This window comes from Homo sapiens, chromosome 1 (genome assembly GCF_000001405.40).
Source record: "Homo sapiens chromosome 1, GRCh38.p14 Primary Assembly".
NCBI classification, from domain to species: Eukaryota; Metazoa; Chordata; class Mammalia; order Primates; family Hominidae; genus Homo; species Homo sapiens.
The window spans coordinates 165,680,832-165,697,598 of record NC_000001.11 but is presented as its reverse complement, the minus strand read 5'-3'; the positions used below and the strand labels follow the sequence as shown (position 1 = coordinate 165,697,598).

The 16,767-nt window shown below is 40.0% G+C and overlaps 1 protein-coding gene across 2 annotated transcripts in view; it reads left to right on the top strand.

Annotated features, from left to right (window-relative positions):
- ALDH9A1 (aldehyde dehydrogenase 9 family member A1) overlaps positions 1-16,767 on the top strand; it is a 36,347-nt gene that overhangs the window by 964 nt on the left and 18,616 nt on the right. For both annotated transcript variants that reach the window (NM_000696.4, NM_001365774.2), the window contains exons 2-4: positions 2,202-2,347; positions 14,489-14,618; positions 15,358-15,492. In NM_000696.4, the coding sequence (NP_000687.3) occupies positions 2,202-2,347; positions 14,489-14,618; positions 15,358-15,492 (411 nt within the window). The remainder of the gene's footprint in view (positions 1-2,201; positions 2,348-14,488; positions 14,619-15,357; positions 15,493-16,767) is intronic.

Sequence of the window (16,767 nt, the reverse complement as noted above, 5' to 3'; positions counted from 1 at the left end):
GACTACGAATGAGGACTTTGTCTCCACATTCTAATATTAAAATATTTCTGCACATTAATCAGAATTGGGAAAGGAAAAAACCCCACCTTTATTCAGTACTTTCTTCCCCAGCTTTATTGAAGTATAATTAACAAATAAAAATTGTATATACTTAAGGTGTAAAACGTGTTGTAATGTATGTATACCTTGCAAAATGGTTACCACGGTCAATCTAATTATCCATTGCTTCTGCATAGTTAATGGCTTTTTTTGGATAGTGAAATATTTAAGATCTATTCTTTTAGCAAATTTCAAGTATATGATGCAGTATTGGTAACCATAGTCACCATGGTCTACGTGAGCTCTCCACAATTTATTCATCTTGCTGAAATAAAACTTTTTAATCCAGTGCTTAATGTGTGCTAAGCACTGTGCTAGGCACTGGATTTACTCTGGGAACTCTGAAGGTCACAGAGATAAGGAAGAAGGGGCTTTTTGTTTTGGTTTTGTGTTGTGTTTATTTTGCTGGGTTTTATGGAATATATGTGGGGAGAAAAATGTAAATATTTTGTGTAAAATGTAGCCAGAGCAATAAAACTGATTTGCAGGGGACTGGAGAATTTAGTATTTGACCATCCACACTAAACCACAGAGCAGTGACTTGGCAGAGCCAGAAGGCATTATCACATCTCTTCTTTATATAGGAGGAAACAGCTTCTCTACCCCGACTTAATCCTGATACAAAAGAAAGAAAAATTGCTCTTTGCTTTAATTGCCTACAGTGTGTGTGATCCTCAGCCACCGCCTTTACCAGCTGGCTATTCAAGTTTGTAACAGAAATTGCAGATTTGTGAAATCTCCCTGGAAAGAGTCCCAGGAGTTCTTGTGAAGAGGATTTGCTGAGTTGGCAAACTTAAAGAATTCTTGTTGGTAGAGGCAGTACAGTCCTTGGGCTATGGGCCTAGAAAAACTGATTGTTTCATAATTTGCACCAGAATAGGGAGAGGGAATAAAGGTGGAATAAGAAAAGGAAATCTGGGAATTTTTGAGAAAAAAAAAATGTTCCTTTAGGGTTGCCTTATCCTGATATTACTGCTTATTAACTATATTTATCAAGTATCAAGTAGTATGATATAACCTACATAGAATATAGACAAGGGATTTACAGTCAGAGTTTATAACCCAATAGACTGATTACTTTTGACTTTCATTTTACAAGACCCCTGAGATTCTGAGATAATGTTTAGGAGTGTTGCAAAACTTAATCAGAAGTTAATGTTAGTAAACTCAACTGTAAAATAGTAGAGGGCAGGGGTTCTTAACTCTAAATCCTTGATGAGTTTAGGGCAGGGGACATGACATTCCTGTAATTCTGTTATATGTTTAAGTAGATTTTTCTGGAGAGAGGTCTGCAACTTTTATCAGACTCCTAATGTCAATGACCGCAAAATACAGTTAAGAACTGCTAGGCCGGGTGTGGTGGCTCATGGCTGTAATCCCAGCACTTGGGGAGGCAGAGGTGGGTGAATCACTTGAGGTCAGGAATGTAAGACCAGCCTGGCCAACATGATGAAATCCCGTCTCTACTAAAAATACAAAAATTAGCTGTGTGTGGTGGCAGGCGCCTGTAATCCCAGCTACTCGGGAGGCTGAGGCAGGAGAATTGCTGGAACCCAGGAGGCAAAAGTTGCAGTGAGTCAAGATCGTGCCATTGCACTCCAGCCTGGGTAACAAGAGCGAGACTCCGTCTTAAAAAACAAAAAAACAAAACAAAAAAACCTGCTAGTATAGAGATGGTCACTAAATCAAACCATACATAAAAACAAGAAGTTACGGTAGCCCACGCCTGTAATTCCGGCACTTCGGGAGGCTGAGGCGGGTGGGTCACAAGGTCAGGAGATCAAGACCATCCTGGTCAACATGGTGAAACCCGGTCTCTACTAAAAAATACAAAAAATTAGCTGGGCGTAGTGGCGTGCACTGGTAGTCCCAGCTACTCAGGAGGCTGAGGCAGGGGAATCGCTTGAACTCAGGAGGCAGAGGTTGCAGTGAGCCGAGATCGCGCCACTGCACTCCAGCCTGGGTGACAGAGCAAGACTCCATCTCAAGAAAAAAAAAAAAAAAAAAAAAAAGACTACTACTAAGAGAATATTGATAGATAATATTTTATTTAAATATGTGGCAACAATTTGAGTTAAAACTGATGTTTCCGCTCTTTATAGGCCGAGTGATAGCTACTTTCACATGTTCAGGAGAAAAGGAAGTAAATTTGGCTGTTCAAAATGCAAAGGCTGCTTTTAAAATATGGAGTCAAAAATCTGGCATGGAGCGTTGCCGAATCCTTTTGGAGGCTGCCAGGATAATAAGGGTATGTTCCAATTTATTTCCTTCCAGAACTCAGACATTGCTCTGAGGTTTCTTTGTGATGTTTGCAGTTCGACTTTGTTGCAACATTAGGCCGTAACGTTTTTATAAAATGGAAAAACATTTCCACATGCTCACCTTAGTATATAAAACAAGTTTTTGTTCAATACTTCCCATCTGGATGTTGGCTCTTGGACATCTCCTTTGGCAGGTTTTCATGTTTGTAAAGCTTTGTTTTGAATTATAATGCACTCTTTATAGCTCATCGTCCTTTTTTTATTTTTATTTTTTTTTTTTTTTGAGACGGAATCTTGCTCTGTCGCCCAGGCTGGAGTGCAGTGGAGTGATCTCGGCTCACTGCAACCTTCGCCTCCCGGGCTCAAGCAATTCTCCTGCCTCAGCTTCCCAAGTAGCTGGGACTACAGGTGTGTGCCACCATGCCTGGCTAATTTTTGTATTTTTCGTAGAGATGGATTTCACCATGTTGGCCAGGCTGGTCTTGAACTCCTGACCTCAAGTGATCCACCCACATCGGCCTCACAAAATGCTGGGATTACAGGCGTGAGCCACTGTGCCCAGCCTTTCTTTCTTTTTAAACCATGTGGTTTACTTGTTTCCTTTTTATTCTTTATTTTGATGATTCTCAAGTCTACCTTTCTTTTTCAGATTTGTTTTCAGATAGGGTTTTAAGTATCGTTACTTTAATTGGGAAGATTTCATAGATTTGTAGATGTTCCCTTTAAAAAAAAGAGAGTTAAACTTTTTTTTTACATCATAAATATATACAATTTTTATTTGTCAACTAAAAAAAATTGTAAAAACAAGTATTTAATACTCATCGCAAAACATAAAAAGCCTGCAATGCAAAGGGTTTCTGTGGTGTAGTAGTTACCACGCTGGCCTAACACACGGAAGGTCCTCTGTTTGAAACTTGACGGAAACAAAAGGTTTCTTTTGTTTCCCAGAATCTGACCAGGCTGCCTCTTCCTGGGAGTCCAGAGCTGCGAGGAACAAGTGATAATCCTGCCTCCTTTTTTTTTTTTTTTTATACTTAAGTTCTAGGGTACATGTACACAATGTGCAGGTTTGATACATAGGTATACAAGTGCCATGTTGGTTTGCTGCACCCATCAACTCACCATTTACATTAGGTATTTCTCCTAATGCTATCCCTCCCCCAGCCCCCCACCCCCTACGGCCCCGGTGTGTGATGTTCCCCACCCTGTGTCCAAGTGATCTCATTGTTCAATTCCCACCTATGAATGAGAACATGCAGTGTTTGGTTTTCTGTCCTTGTGATAGTTTGCTCAGAATGATGGTTTCCAGCTTCATCCATGTCCCTGCAAAGGACATGAACTCATCCTTTTTAATGGCTGCATAGTATTCCATGGTATATATGTGCCACATTTTCTTAATCCAGTCTATCATTGATGGGCATTTGGGTTGGTTCCAAGTCTTTGCTCTTGTGAATAGTGCTGCAATAAACATACGTGTGCATGTGTCTTTATAGTAGCATGATTTATAATCCTTTGAGTATATACCCAGTAATGGGATGGCTGGGTCAAATGGTATTTCTAGTTCTAGATATTTGAGGAATCGCCACACTGTCTTCCACAATGGTTGAACTAGTTTACAGTCCCACCAACAGTGTAAAAGTGTTCCTATTTCTCCACATCATCTCCAGCACCTGTTGTTTCCTGACTTTTTAATGATTGCCATTCTAACTGGTGTGAGATGGTATCTCATTGTGGGTTTGATTTGCATTTCTCTGATGGCCAGTGATGATGAGCATTTTTTCATGTGTCTTTTGGCTGCATAAATGTCTTTTTTTGAGAAGTGTCTGTTCATATCCTTTGCCCACTTGTTGATGGGGTTGTTTGTTTTTTCTTGTAAATTTGTTTAAGTTCATTGTAGATTCTGGATATTAACCCTCTGTCAGATGGGTAGATTACAAAAATTTTCTCCCATTCTGTAGGTTGCCTGTTCACTCTGATGGTAGTTTCTTTTGCTGTGCAGAAGCTCTTTAGTTTACTTAGATCCCATTTGTCTATTTTGGCTTTTGTTGCCATTGCTTTTGGTGTTTTAGTCATGAAGTCCTTGCCCATGCCTGTGTCCTGAATGGTATTGCCTAGGTTTTCTTCTAGGGTTTTTATGGTTTTAGGTCTAACATTTAAGTCTTTAATCCATCTTGAATTAATTTTTGTATAAGGTGTAAGGAAGGGATCCAGTTTCAGCTTTCTACATATGGCTAGCCAGTTTTCCCAGCACCATTTATTAAATAGGGAATCCTTTCCTCATTTCTTGTTTTTCTCAGGTTTGTCAAAGATCAGATGGTTGTAGATGTGTGGTATTATTTCTGAGGGCTCCGTTCTGTTCCATTGTTCTATATCTCTGTTTTGGTACCAGTACCATGCTGTTTTGGTTACTGTAGCCTTGTAGTATAGTTTGAAGTCAGGTAGCATGATGCCTCCAGCTGTGTTCTTTTGGCTTAGGATTGTCTTGGCAATGCAGGCTCTTTTTTGGTTCCATATGAACTTTAAAATAGTTTTTTCCAATTCTGTGAAGAAAGTCATTGGTAGCTTGATGGGGATGGCATTAAATCTATAAATTACCTTGGGCAGTATGGCCATTTTTGCGATATTGATTCTTCCTATCCATGAGCATGGAATGTTCTTTCATTTGTTTGTGTCCTCTTTTATTTCATTGAGCAGTGGTTTGTAGTTCTCCTTGAAGAGGTCCTTCACATCCCTTGTAAGTTGGATTCCTGGGTATTTTATTCTCTTTGAAGCAATTGTGAATGGGAGTTCACTCATGATTTGGCTCTGTGTTTGTCTGTTATTGGTGTATAGGAATGCTTGTGATTTTTGCACATTGATTTTGTATCTTGAGACTTTGCTGAAGTAGCTTATCACCTTAAGGAGATTTTGGGCTGAGACAATGGGGTTTTCTAAATATACAATCATGTCATCTGCAAACAGGGACAATTTGACTTCCTCCTAATTGAATACACTTTATTTTTTTCTCCTGCCTGATTGCCTTGGCCAGAACTTCCAACACTATGTTGAATAGGAGTGGTGAGAGAGGGCATTCATGTCTTGTGCCAGTTTTCAAAGGGAATGCTTCCAGTTTTTGCCCATTCAGTATGATATTGGCTGTGGGTTTGTCATAAATAGCTCTTATTATTTTGAGATATGTCCCATCAATACCTAGTATATTGAGAGTTTTTAGCATGAAGGGCTGTTGAAATTTGTCGAAGGCCTTTTCTGCGTCTGTTGAGATAGTCGTGGTTTTTGTCTTTGGTTCTGTTTATATGATGGATTACGTTTATTGATTTGTGTATGTTGAACCAGCCTTGCATCCCAGGGATGAAGCCAACTTGATCATGGTGGATAAGCTTTTTGATGTGCTACTGGATTCTGTTTGCCAGTATTTTATTGAGGATTTTTGCATCGATGTTCATCAGGGATATTGGTCTAAAATTCTCTTTTTTTGTTATGTCTTGGTATCAGGCTGATGCTGGCCTCATAAAATGAGTTAGGGAGGTTCCCTCTTTTTCTAATGATTGGAATAGTTTCAGAAGGAATAGTACCAGCTCATCTTTGTATCTCTGGTAGAATTCAGGGTTTTTAGCTTCTTTGTGATGGGTTCAAACATCATCCTTTACCTCAGAGAAGTTTGTTATTACCGATCTTCTGAAGCTTACTTCTGTCACTTGTCTAAGTCATTCTCCGTGCAGCTTTGTTCCATTGCTGGTGAGGAGCTGCGATCCTTTGGAGGAGAAGAGGCACTCTGGTTTTGAGAATTTTCAGCTTTTCTGTTCTGGTTTCTCCCCATCTTTGTGGTTTTATCTACCTTTGGTTTTTGATGATGCTGACCTACATATGGGGTTTTGGTGTGGATGTCCTTTTTGTTGATGTTGATGCTATTCCTTTCTGTTAGTTTTCCTTCTAATAGTCAGGACCCTCAGCTGCAGGTCTGTTGGAGTTTGCTGGAGGTCCACTCCAGACCCTGTTTGCCTGGGTATCACCAGCGGAGGCTGTAGAACAGCAAATATTGCAGAACAGCAAATGTTGCTGCCTGATCCTTCCTCTAGAAGCTTTGTCCCAGAAGGGCACCCACCTGTATGAGGTGTCAGTCGGCCTCGACTGGGAGGTGTCTCCCAGTTAGGCTACTTGGGGGTCAGGGACCCACTTGAGGAGGCAGTCTGTCCATTCTCAGATCTCAAACTCCATGCTGGAAGAACCACTACTCTTTTCAAAGCTGTCAGACAGGGACGTTTAAGTCTGCAGAAGTTTCCGCTGCCTTTTGTTCAGCTATGCCCTGCCGCCAGAGGTGCAGTTTACAGAGGCAGGCAGGCCTCCTTGAGCTGTGGTGGGCTCCACTCGGTTCGAGCTTCCTGGCTGCTTTGTTTACCTAGTCAAGCCTCAGGAATGGCAGACGCCCCTCCCCCAGCTTCACTGCCACCTTCGCAGTTCCATCTTGGACTGCTGTTATAGCAGTGAGCAAAGCTCCATGGGTGGGGGACCCGCCGAGCCAGCTGCAGGATATAATCTCCTGGTGTGCCGTTTGCTAAGACTGTTGGAAAAGCGCAGTATTAGGGTGGGAGTGTCCCGATTTCCCAGGTACCATCTGTCACGGCTTCCCTTGGCTAGGAAAGGGAATTCCCTGACCCCTTGTGCTTCCCAGGTGAACCAGTCCTAATGAGATGAACCCAGTACCTCTGTTGGAAATGCAGAAATCACCGTCTTCTGCATTGATCACGCTGGGAGATGCAGATCGGAGCTGCTCCTATTCGGCCATCTTGATTCTGGACTCTGATAGTTAAACTTTTTATAGTCTTAAAGATCAGAAGTACCAGATGTTCATTATAGAAAGAAAATTCAGAAGAGAATACATCAAAATAAGAATCATGGATAGCTGAGTGGTAGGTCTGTGGTGACTTTTTGTCATAAGTATGTTACGTCAGAAACTGTGACGGGTCTGAGAGTTTCCCTGCTTTCAAGAGTGTGTGTGTATATGTGTATATATTACATACATATACATATAAAACACATATAATATACATATACATAATTATACACATATAAGCTATGTTATACACATAGAATAATATATAATCTATATAATATACATATATTCTATATTATAGTTGTAAATTACACAATTATGTGTAATATATGTATATTTTATACATATATATATTCTAGCAAGAGACATGAGGCTTTTTGGATCACAGAGAAGGATGGTTTATTACAGCAAAATGCAGCAGCCATAGCAATACCTTAGCACTAATTTCTGTTTATTTATTATTATTTTTTTTTTGTGATGGAGTCTCACTCTGTCACCCAGGCTGGAGTGCAATGGCACAATCTTGGCTCACTGCAACCTCCGCCTCCTGGGTTCAAGCGATTCTCCTGCCTCAGACTCCTGAATAGCTGGGATTACAGGCACATGACACCACGCCTGGCTATTTTTTGTATTTTTAGTAGAGACAGAGTTTCCCCATGTTGGCCAGGCTCGTCTCAAACTCCTGACCTTAGGTGATCCGCCTGCCTTGGCCTTCCAAAGTGCTGGGATTACAGGCATGAGCCACTGCATCCGGCCTAGTTTTTTTGTTTTCAAAGCACCGGTCACCACGGTGAGTGAGGGGATGGGATGAGAACCAGGTGAGATCCCTGTGCATGCAGGAAGTTGCACCAAAGGAGAAGAACCCTAAACTTCTGAGATTCATTTAAATAGAAATTACTGGCACATCTGCCCATCCTCTTCTCTGGGGAGAGAGTGAGAGAGATTGAGATTACTTATTAAGCAAATCTCCAGGGTTGAGAGGGAAGGTATCACTAAGTTTATTATCCTGGAGTATAAGCACATGTTTCAGGAACAGGAAGTAAAGAGGTTTACATTTCTAAATTTCTCCAGATTTCTTTATCTTTAGGGAGATACTGTCTCTGCCTTTCAAGGCCTTTGCTATTCAATCAACTCGTCAGTGTCCTTTGCTTGGAAAGCCCTGACCATGCAGAAATATCAAAATATTCATATAGAATTTTCTCCCAACGAAGTATTTTCCCCGTTATTAAAAATTTATTTTTAATTCGATAAACCAAAGATAACTCAAAGCAGATAATTTATTATTTTCATTTGCCCATTTTTTTTCCTGTGAATGAGCAGCATTGTAGGGCTGTTAAGAATTGGCTCCTTTATTGTTAGGAAATGACTTTTATTGATCCTGGGTAATATCTAATAATATTTTTTGCTCTGAAATCTGTTGTCTGATACTAAATTTCATTTCTTTTTACTTTACCCTCCCCTTTACTTTTCCTTTGATACCTGTGTGGTGTTTTATTAATCAAAAACCCACTGCTTATTATTAAGTGTTTATTAATCAAAAACACTTGTCTGATGATCGTGCTCTGAACCTGCCTTCACCCCAATTTATTCCATAACTGAATAGATCCCACTCTGTGACCACACCTACAATCATATTAGCCCTCAGTTTTCTTTTAAGTGATTTTTCTAGTTAATCAAGATCTGCAGTTCTTTGTTCTTTTTTGACAGGGTCTTGCTCTGTCACCCAGGCTGGAGTGCAGTGGCACAATCATGGCTCACTACAGCCTCAACCTCCTGGGCTCAAGGGATCCTCTTGCCTCAGCTTCCCGTATATGTGCACCACCATACCTGGCTAATTTTTGTTTGTATTTTTTGTAGAGATGGGGTTACGCCATGTTTCCCAGGCTGGAATTTAAAAAAAAGTATTGCTGTAAACAATTATTTTTTAAAATATTTTAAGAATAAGGTAAAATATTTCACATTTGTCCACATATTTACCATTTCTGGTGCTCATAAGTCATTTGTGTAGACCCAGATATCTGTCTGCTGTCATTTTCTCTTCTGCTAGAAGGAATTTCTTCAGCATTTCTTTTCTGTTTTGTTTTGTTTTTTGAGACAAGGTCTCGCTCTGTCTCCCCAGCTGAAGCACAGTAGTGGAATCATAGCTCACTATGGCCTTGACCTTCTGGGCTCAAACGATCCTCCCACCTCAGCGTCCTGAGTAGCTGGGACTACAGACTCATGTCACCACACTTGGCTAATTTTTGTATTTTTTGTAGAGAGCGGGTTTATTCATGTTGCCCAGGATGGTCTTGATCTCCTGGGCTCAAGTCATCCTCCTGCCTCAGCTTCCCAAAGTGCTGGGACTGTACGTGTGTGCCACTGTACCCAGCCTAGAATTAATTAATTTCTTTTCTTTTCTTTTCTTTCTCTTTTTTTTTTGAGAGGAGTCTCTCTCTCTCACCCAGGCTGGAGTACAGTGGCATGATCTCGGCTCACTGCAACCTCCGCCTCCCGGGTTCAAGTGATTCTCCTGCCTCAGCCTCCCGAGTAGCTGGGATTACAAATGTGTGCCACCATGCCTGGCTAATTTTTGTATTTTTAGTAGAGATGGGGTTTCACCATGTTGGCCAGGCTGGTCTCAAACTGCTGACCTCCAGTGATCCGCCCACCTCGGCTTCCCAAAGTGCTGGGATTACAGGTGTGAGCCACTGCACCCCGCCAGGCTAGCATTTCTTATAGTGCAGGTCTGTTGGTACTCTTTCAGATTCTGTATGTCTAAAAAAGTCTTTCTTTTGCATTAATTTTTGAATGAATTGTAGGTAAATAGTTTTTTCTTTCAGTACTTTAAAGATGTTGCTCCACTGTCTTCTGATTTGTATTGTTTCAGAAGAGAAATTTACTGTCATTTTTATTTTTGTATCTTTGTATGTAATGTACTCCCTCTACCCCCCACCCCTGGCTGTTTTAATATTTTTCTCCTTATCACTGGTTTTAAGCAATTTGATTATGATGTCTTTTGGTGCAGTTTTCTTCATATGTATTTTTCCTGAGGTTTATTGATCTTCTTGGATCTGTAAATTTGTTTCATTTGGAAAAAAAATTTGGCCATGATTTCTTTAGTTTTTTTTTTTGCCCCCTCTTCCATCACTTCTCCTTCAGGGCCTCCAATTACACATATATTGGGCTGCCTGAAGCTATCCCACGTCACTGATGCTCAGTTCATTTTCCAGTTTTTGGGTGTGTTTATGGGTTTTTTTCTCCTTCTGAGCCTTCCCTCCCACCCCCTGTGTGTGTGTGTTTTGTTTTCAGGTAATTTCTATTGTTATGACTCAAGTTCATCGGTCTTCTATAGTGTTTTATCTGCTGTTAATCTCATCTAGTGTATTTTCATCTCTAGATTAATTTGGGTCTTTTATATATGTGTTCTGTGGCTCTCCTTAACATGCTTATGTTTTTCTGTGCCTTCTTGAACATACGGAGTATAGCTATCATAACTTAATGTTCTTGTCTACTAGTTCTGTTGTGTTATTTCTGAATGTGTTTTTATTGGTTAGTTTCGCTTCCTGGTTAAATGTTACGGTTTTCTACTTTTTGCATGCCTGGTAGTTTTTGATCACTAGACATATGATCTCTAGTGAATCACTAGGGCACATTATATTGCTGGGTGCTGGATAGTCTTGTACTTTAAAAAATATTCTTAAGCTTTGTTCTGGGACACAGTGAAGTTACTTGGAATCAGTTTGATCCTTGGAAGATTTGCTTTTAGATCAGCAAATTTCGCCATGTTATTCAATACCCTTCTGACTGCTTAACCCTGTGATCCGGGTGTTAATGAGGTTTTCTCACCATGGCTGGTGGGAACATGAACTATACCTGGCCCTGTGTGAGTTCTGGGGCTTTTTTTTTTAAAAAAAAAAACATTTTCTTCTTGGGTAGTCCTTTTCCCAGTCTTGGGTAGTTTTCTCACACTGGTACTCAAAGGGGAATCTGCAGATTTCTGGGGTTCTCTATCTGTGCAGCTCTTTTCCCTTCCACACTCAGTCTTGAAGAACTGTAGCCACTCAAAGTTCCCTAAACTCCCACCCTATCTTCTCAACTCATGTGTCTGCTGGGCGCCACCTAGCTTCCTCCTCCCTGCTCTGTGGCCTGAAAACTTTCTCTAGGCAGTAGACTCCAGCAATTGTAGGGCTCACCTCATTGGTTCCCTCCTCCAGGGACCACTGCCTTGAGTTGCTTAATGTCTGATGTCTGAAAATGGTTCATGTATTTTATCTGGTGTTTTTAGTTGTTTAAGGTGGGAGAATGAATCTGGTCCCTGTTAATCCATCTTGGCTAGAAGCTCATTGATTCCTAGTGGAAATGAACATTTTTTTCCATATTTTCTCATTTTTACTTTGAATCCTTTGGTACTTATACCAGATTGTATAGATCTTGTCTGTGAGACCCAGTCATTTTTCAGTTGGAGACCCCTTGTGAAGTAGCTATCATTTGGATTAAAAGGGGAGGGAGAATGTTACTTAAAACAATGACAAAACTATCTAAATAAAGAAGAGATTGTGTATGTAGGTTATCTTCTTGCCTCCAGCCCTGGCCCAGGTTGGTTTGTCTTGTACAGTGCCACCAGAGTGGTCCTCCTACAGAAGCACATTTGATCATGGTACATCCTTGGGTAAAACTGGCCATGGTCCCCCTCCTTAACATGGCCCTCAGGCCCTGTTTCTCCAGCCTCGTCTTTTCTCTTCACACACCATAAGACCCAGCTCTCCTGCACTACTGGTCCTTCCTCGTTTACCATGTGTATACTGTCACACCTCATGCTTTTACAATGCCATGACGCTGAGTTTGGTGCTGTTCTTTTGTTTTTCTTGCCTCTTGTGCTTACATGTTTAGCATTTAGTGGTCTGTACTGTAATTTATCCCTCCCTCCCTCCATTTTTTCCTTCTGGACAAGGTGATTGTTGTACATAATTGTATTAGCAAAAGCATCTTGAGATGTATATAGCTATTTTACCTATTTGAGAAATGAGAAAATGCTCAAAAAGGTTAAATAGCTTGTCTTAGATCATATAACTAGTAAGTATAAGAGCTAGTCTGTTGGGCTTCAAAGCTAGACATTAAGCCCTGCTGAGGGGTTCGAAGTGAAAGGGAGAAGTGAGGGACCTACTCTTGGCTTCTAATCTTTCATCCCAGTGAACACCTGGTCAAGTCATATTGTAAAGCAGGGTGATATAGAGGAGGAACAGGGTTGGGAACAACACATGTATTTCCTAAGAAATACTTGTAGCAGTATGTTGTTATGGTGAACAATTTTATCTTATGGTTACTCTTGCAATAGTAGCAGGCAGAAATTTTTGTCAGAGACATCTTTGATGATCCTTACGTACTATATCAGAAGATCTCCTAATGCTCTTAGTAGATAACTTTTTTTTTGTAAGGATGGAGAATAATAGAATAACACAGAAAAAATTTCCCAAGGCCATCTAATTAACTGAATTTTCTCTGAGAGTTGAAACCCCAAAACAGCCCCCAAAACCACTTGCCTATCCATTATTTTAAAAGAGAAAAAAATCTCCAGAGTAAAAGTTTCTATTCTCTTAGTAAATGTTCCAGGGCTTAGCAGCGATAGAATCACAGATTACTTCCTATTTGTTCACTCTTACACTAAAGTGTAAGCAGAACCGTGTTTCACTATTGCCAGTGTAATATCTCTTCCCTGTATTTGAAATGTTCTGTACTGATTCATCACTTTATTCAACCGATTAATGCACTAGCCTCTCTAGGGCCTAGTTTCCTCTTGAATTCAAGAAACAAAATTTAAGCTACTTATGGTTGATTATACCTTTGGAAAACTATTTTGTGTTAATTATACTCAACAAACTTAAGAATGGGGAATAATTTATGCTTGGTGTAAGAATTGATGTATGTTTTCCTCTTAGGGTACCCTCTTTCTAGGGTCAGCATACTGGGAAACAAGTTAATTGTCAAAAGGTTGTTTTGTTGAGTGTAGAGTCAGGAAGGGAGAAGGTAAATTGTTGGTTTAAAAGAGAGTTTAATTTAGACCAGGTTTGAATGTGAACAGATTATCCTTTCTGAAGGAAAATGTCTATTCAAAAATTGCAATATTGATTTAAAATGTGCTGACTTGCCCTTTTAGAAGTAAGCTCTTAAAGGGGTAGACAGGACTGATACTCTTTTCCCTAGTAATGAATGTAGAATGAATGAGTCAAAGCACTTTATACCTCTGGCCTTTATAAGAAATACAGCGTGTCCAAATCTCACTATCCAACTGTCCTTTCTTGTATTTCATATTGGTTTTCATATTCCTACTTTCATCTTTTCTGAGCTTTGTACTGTGGATAGATGCTTGAGTTAGTTTCTGTTGCACTCCATTTTGCTTCTGGCCAGCCTTACTGCTTATCAGTTTTATAAACAGAATGTTCCTTCTTGTCAGTTGCTTAATCTTTTATGTATGTTCTGATAGTCACCCTATTATTTATTTTAAATTGGACCCATAATAGCAACTGCCTACTTCTTACATATTCAATTCTTTTATGTCCTTTAGACCAAAGAAAGGCATTATTTAGCTTTCTTTCTTAGGTCTAATTTCCTAAACCTTTAAGCTCATCATTGGACCATCTATTGAATTTCTTTATCCTTAGTAAGTTGTGGAGCCCAGAACTAGAAACAGTATTTGAAAATAGTATTGATTGAATGCTAAGTATTAGAAAATATTAGAAGAGAATATGCTGCAATTCTTTGGGTGACTTAAAGTGACGCATATTACAACCTCTTAAATGCAATTGTGTGTTAGAATATTTTGTATAATTTCCCTAAGAACTGTTTTCTCTTACCATATATGAGCAAACATACATATTTACGTACATGTACGTATTACATTCATTTTCCAAAATGAATTATTCTTCCACTTGTGAGCCATCCATTTTCTCTCCATTCTCTACCCCTCACCTCTTCAATAAATATACACTTCAAATCAGAATGGGCCTGCCCTGTGACTTTCAGAGCCTCAGAGGGCATGGGTTCATTCCTGCCCGGTCTTGCCCCTTCTTTTACTAACTGATCTTGAAATAAAGTAGTGGTCTTAAATCTTTGTCGATTAATTAACGAGGGAAGAACAGGGCTGCTGTTCAGCTATAAGCCTTTATCTCTCTTCTAAATGTAACACTGCCATTTCTTTTCATTTAAAGTGAAAGCTATTTTTAGTTTTAAAAATTGAGCAGTGTGTTCTATTTAAGCATTAATTACATCAAGACATATTGGAATATGTCTTAAATCTAGTCTTCTGCTTTACCCAAAGGAACGGGAGGATGAAATTGCTACTATGGAGTGCATCAACAATGGCAAGTCCATCTTTGAGGCCCGCTTGGACATTGACATTTCCTGGCAGTGCCTGGAGTATTATGCGGGCTTGGCTGCATCCATGGCTGGTAAGTCCTCACCTGGTGTCTGTGACCAGCTGATAATGAGGCAGAAGAGCAGGGCCTAGTGGTGAAGGGCAAAGATTTTGGAATTAAGACAAACCTGGGTGAAAGTCTTGGGTTTGTCACTTTCTACCTGGGTGGCCTGGGAATTACTTTATCTTTCCTAATCTAAACTGGAGATAATAATTCCTACCTTCTTGGGTTAAGGATTAAATGAGATAGTGCATGTAAAGCACCTAGCATGATACCTGAGCTTTAGACCAAATTGCTGAAAAACCAGTTTTCATAAGAATCGGTTTGTCATATTTACCAGTTTTATCTATTTAGCAAACTTTTTTTTGACAGTGTATAAAGTTTTCAACAATTGATATTGGAAGGTTGGTAGGGCCTAGGAAGGTTGCAAGGAACTTACATGCTTCCCCTGCTGTTGAGTGTTCCTCTCATTTCCATTTTGTTTCATCTAAGCTATCTAATAGAGGCTCAGTAAATTCTTAGAGAGTTGTAAAATCAAGTTAGATGAACATGTGTTTGAAGGATAGGCAGGGTTCTCTATGTGGAGAGAATACGTGGAAGCCAGTGGAAGACTGCCTGGAACAAATAGAAGAATGGAGACAGGGTGAGCCTGGTGTATTGGGAGAAGTGGGGAGGCTGCGTTGACTGGAGTACAAGTCAGACTGGTACAGATGTTGGTGAAATCTTGGGGAGCACAGACCTGCATCCTCCTTTACTCCTGTTTTCCCCATAGGTGAACACATCCAGCTCCCAGGTGGATCGTTTGGTTATACCAGAAGAGAACCACTTGGGGTATGTGTGGGAATAGGAGCATGGAACTACCCCTTTCAGATTGCCTCTTGGAAGTCGGCTCCAGCATTAGCCTGTGGTAAGAATGAATTATCCCTCCATTTGAGAGCCATTCGTTCATTCTCTCGTTCGTTCTCTCCCCATTCTCTACCTTTCACCTCTCTATAAACACACACTTTAAATCGGAAGGGGCCTGCTCTGGGATATTCAAAGCCTCAGAGGACATGGCTCGTTCCTGCCCTGTCTTGCCCCTCAAGGAGCTTATAGTTAAGGTTGTACACAATCATGTCTAGATATTCTCAGGTTTTATTTATTTAATTTTGTATATGAAAAGAAATTTAATTTTTTCTTATTAAATTGAATTAGATTTGTGCTACTTATAAGTTCTCTTCCTTTCTGGACAAGAATTTTAAGGTAGGAGTTAGCACTTAGGAGTTTGACTTCATTTACGAAGCAGAAGATAAACTCCTTTCTTCATTTGGGTCTTAAGAGAAATGATAAGCAAGGCTTTGATAAGCTTCTTATCAAAGAGGAGCTTTGGCTGATTGACATAAAATAGTTTTCTTACAGTATTTAAAGAGAAGAATCTTTGAGGAAAGAAGACTAATTTTATCTTAGAAAAAATTGTAATGTTAGAAAGCATTACTGTTAGGACATTATATTGAAATGCAGCTTTTGTCCTGTTGCCATTGCATGTTCTTGTTTTAGCCTATTTCTCTTTGAGATACAGCTGTGAAAGAGGAAAAATAGTCACTAGCTTTAATAGTCACCAGAATTAAGTCACTAGCTTTGGGGACTCTCATCAAGTGAACCATTCTGGTCTTCAATGTCAACTTTTATAAAATGGAGCTAATGATACCTACTTCATACTGCTGTTGAAAGTGTTAAATGAGATAATATATGTGAAAAGGCCTAGATATGCAAATGTGAGACTGGGCAACTGTAGGGTTTGGGATCTGTTTAATGAGAGAAACCAAGATGAAAAGGACAAGAGTTGTTTACTTATTGATATGGTTTGGCTGTGTCCCCACCCAAATCTCAACTTGAATTGTATCACCCAGAATTCCCATGTGTTGTGGGAGGGACCCAGGGGGAGGTAATTGAATCATGGGGGCTGGTCTTTCTCATGCTATTCTCCTGATAGTGAATAAGTCTCATGAGATCTGATGGGTTTATCAGGGGTTTCCGCTTTTGCTGCTGCTTCATTTTTCTCCTGCCGCCAATGTAAGAAGTGACTTTCACCTCCCGCCATGATTCTGAGGCCTCCCTAGCCATGTGGAACTGTAAATCCAATTAAGCCTCTTTCTGTTCCCAGTTTCGGGTATGTCTTTATCAGCAGCATGAAAACAAACTA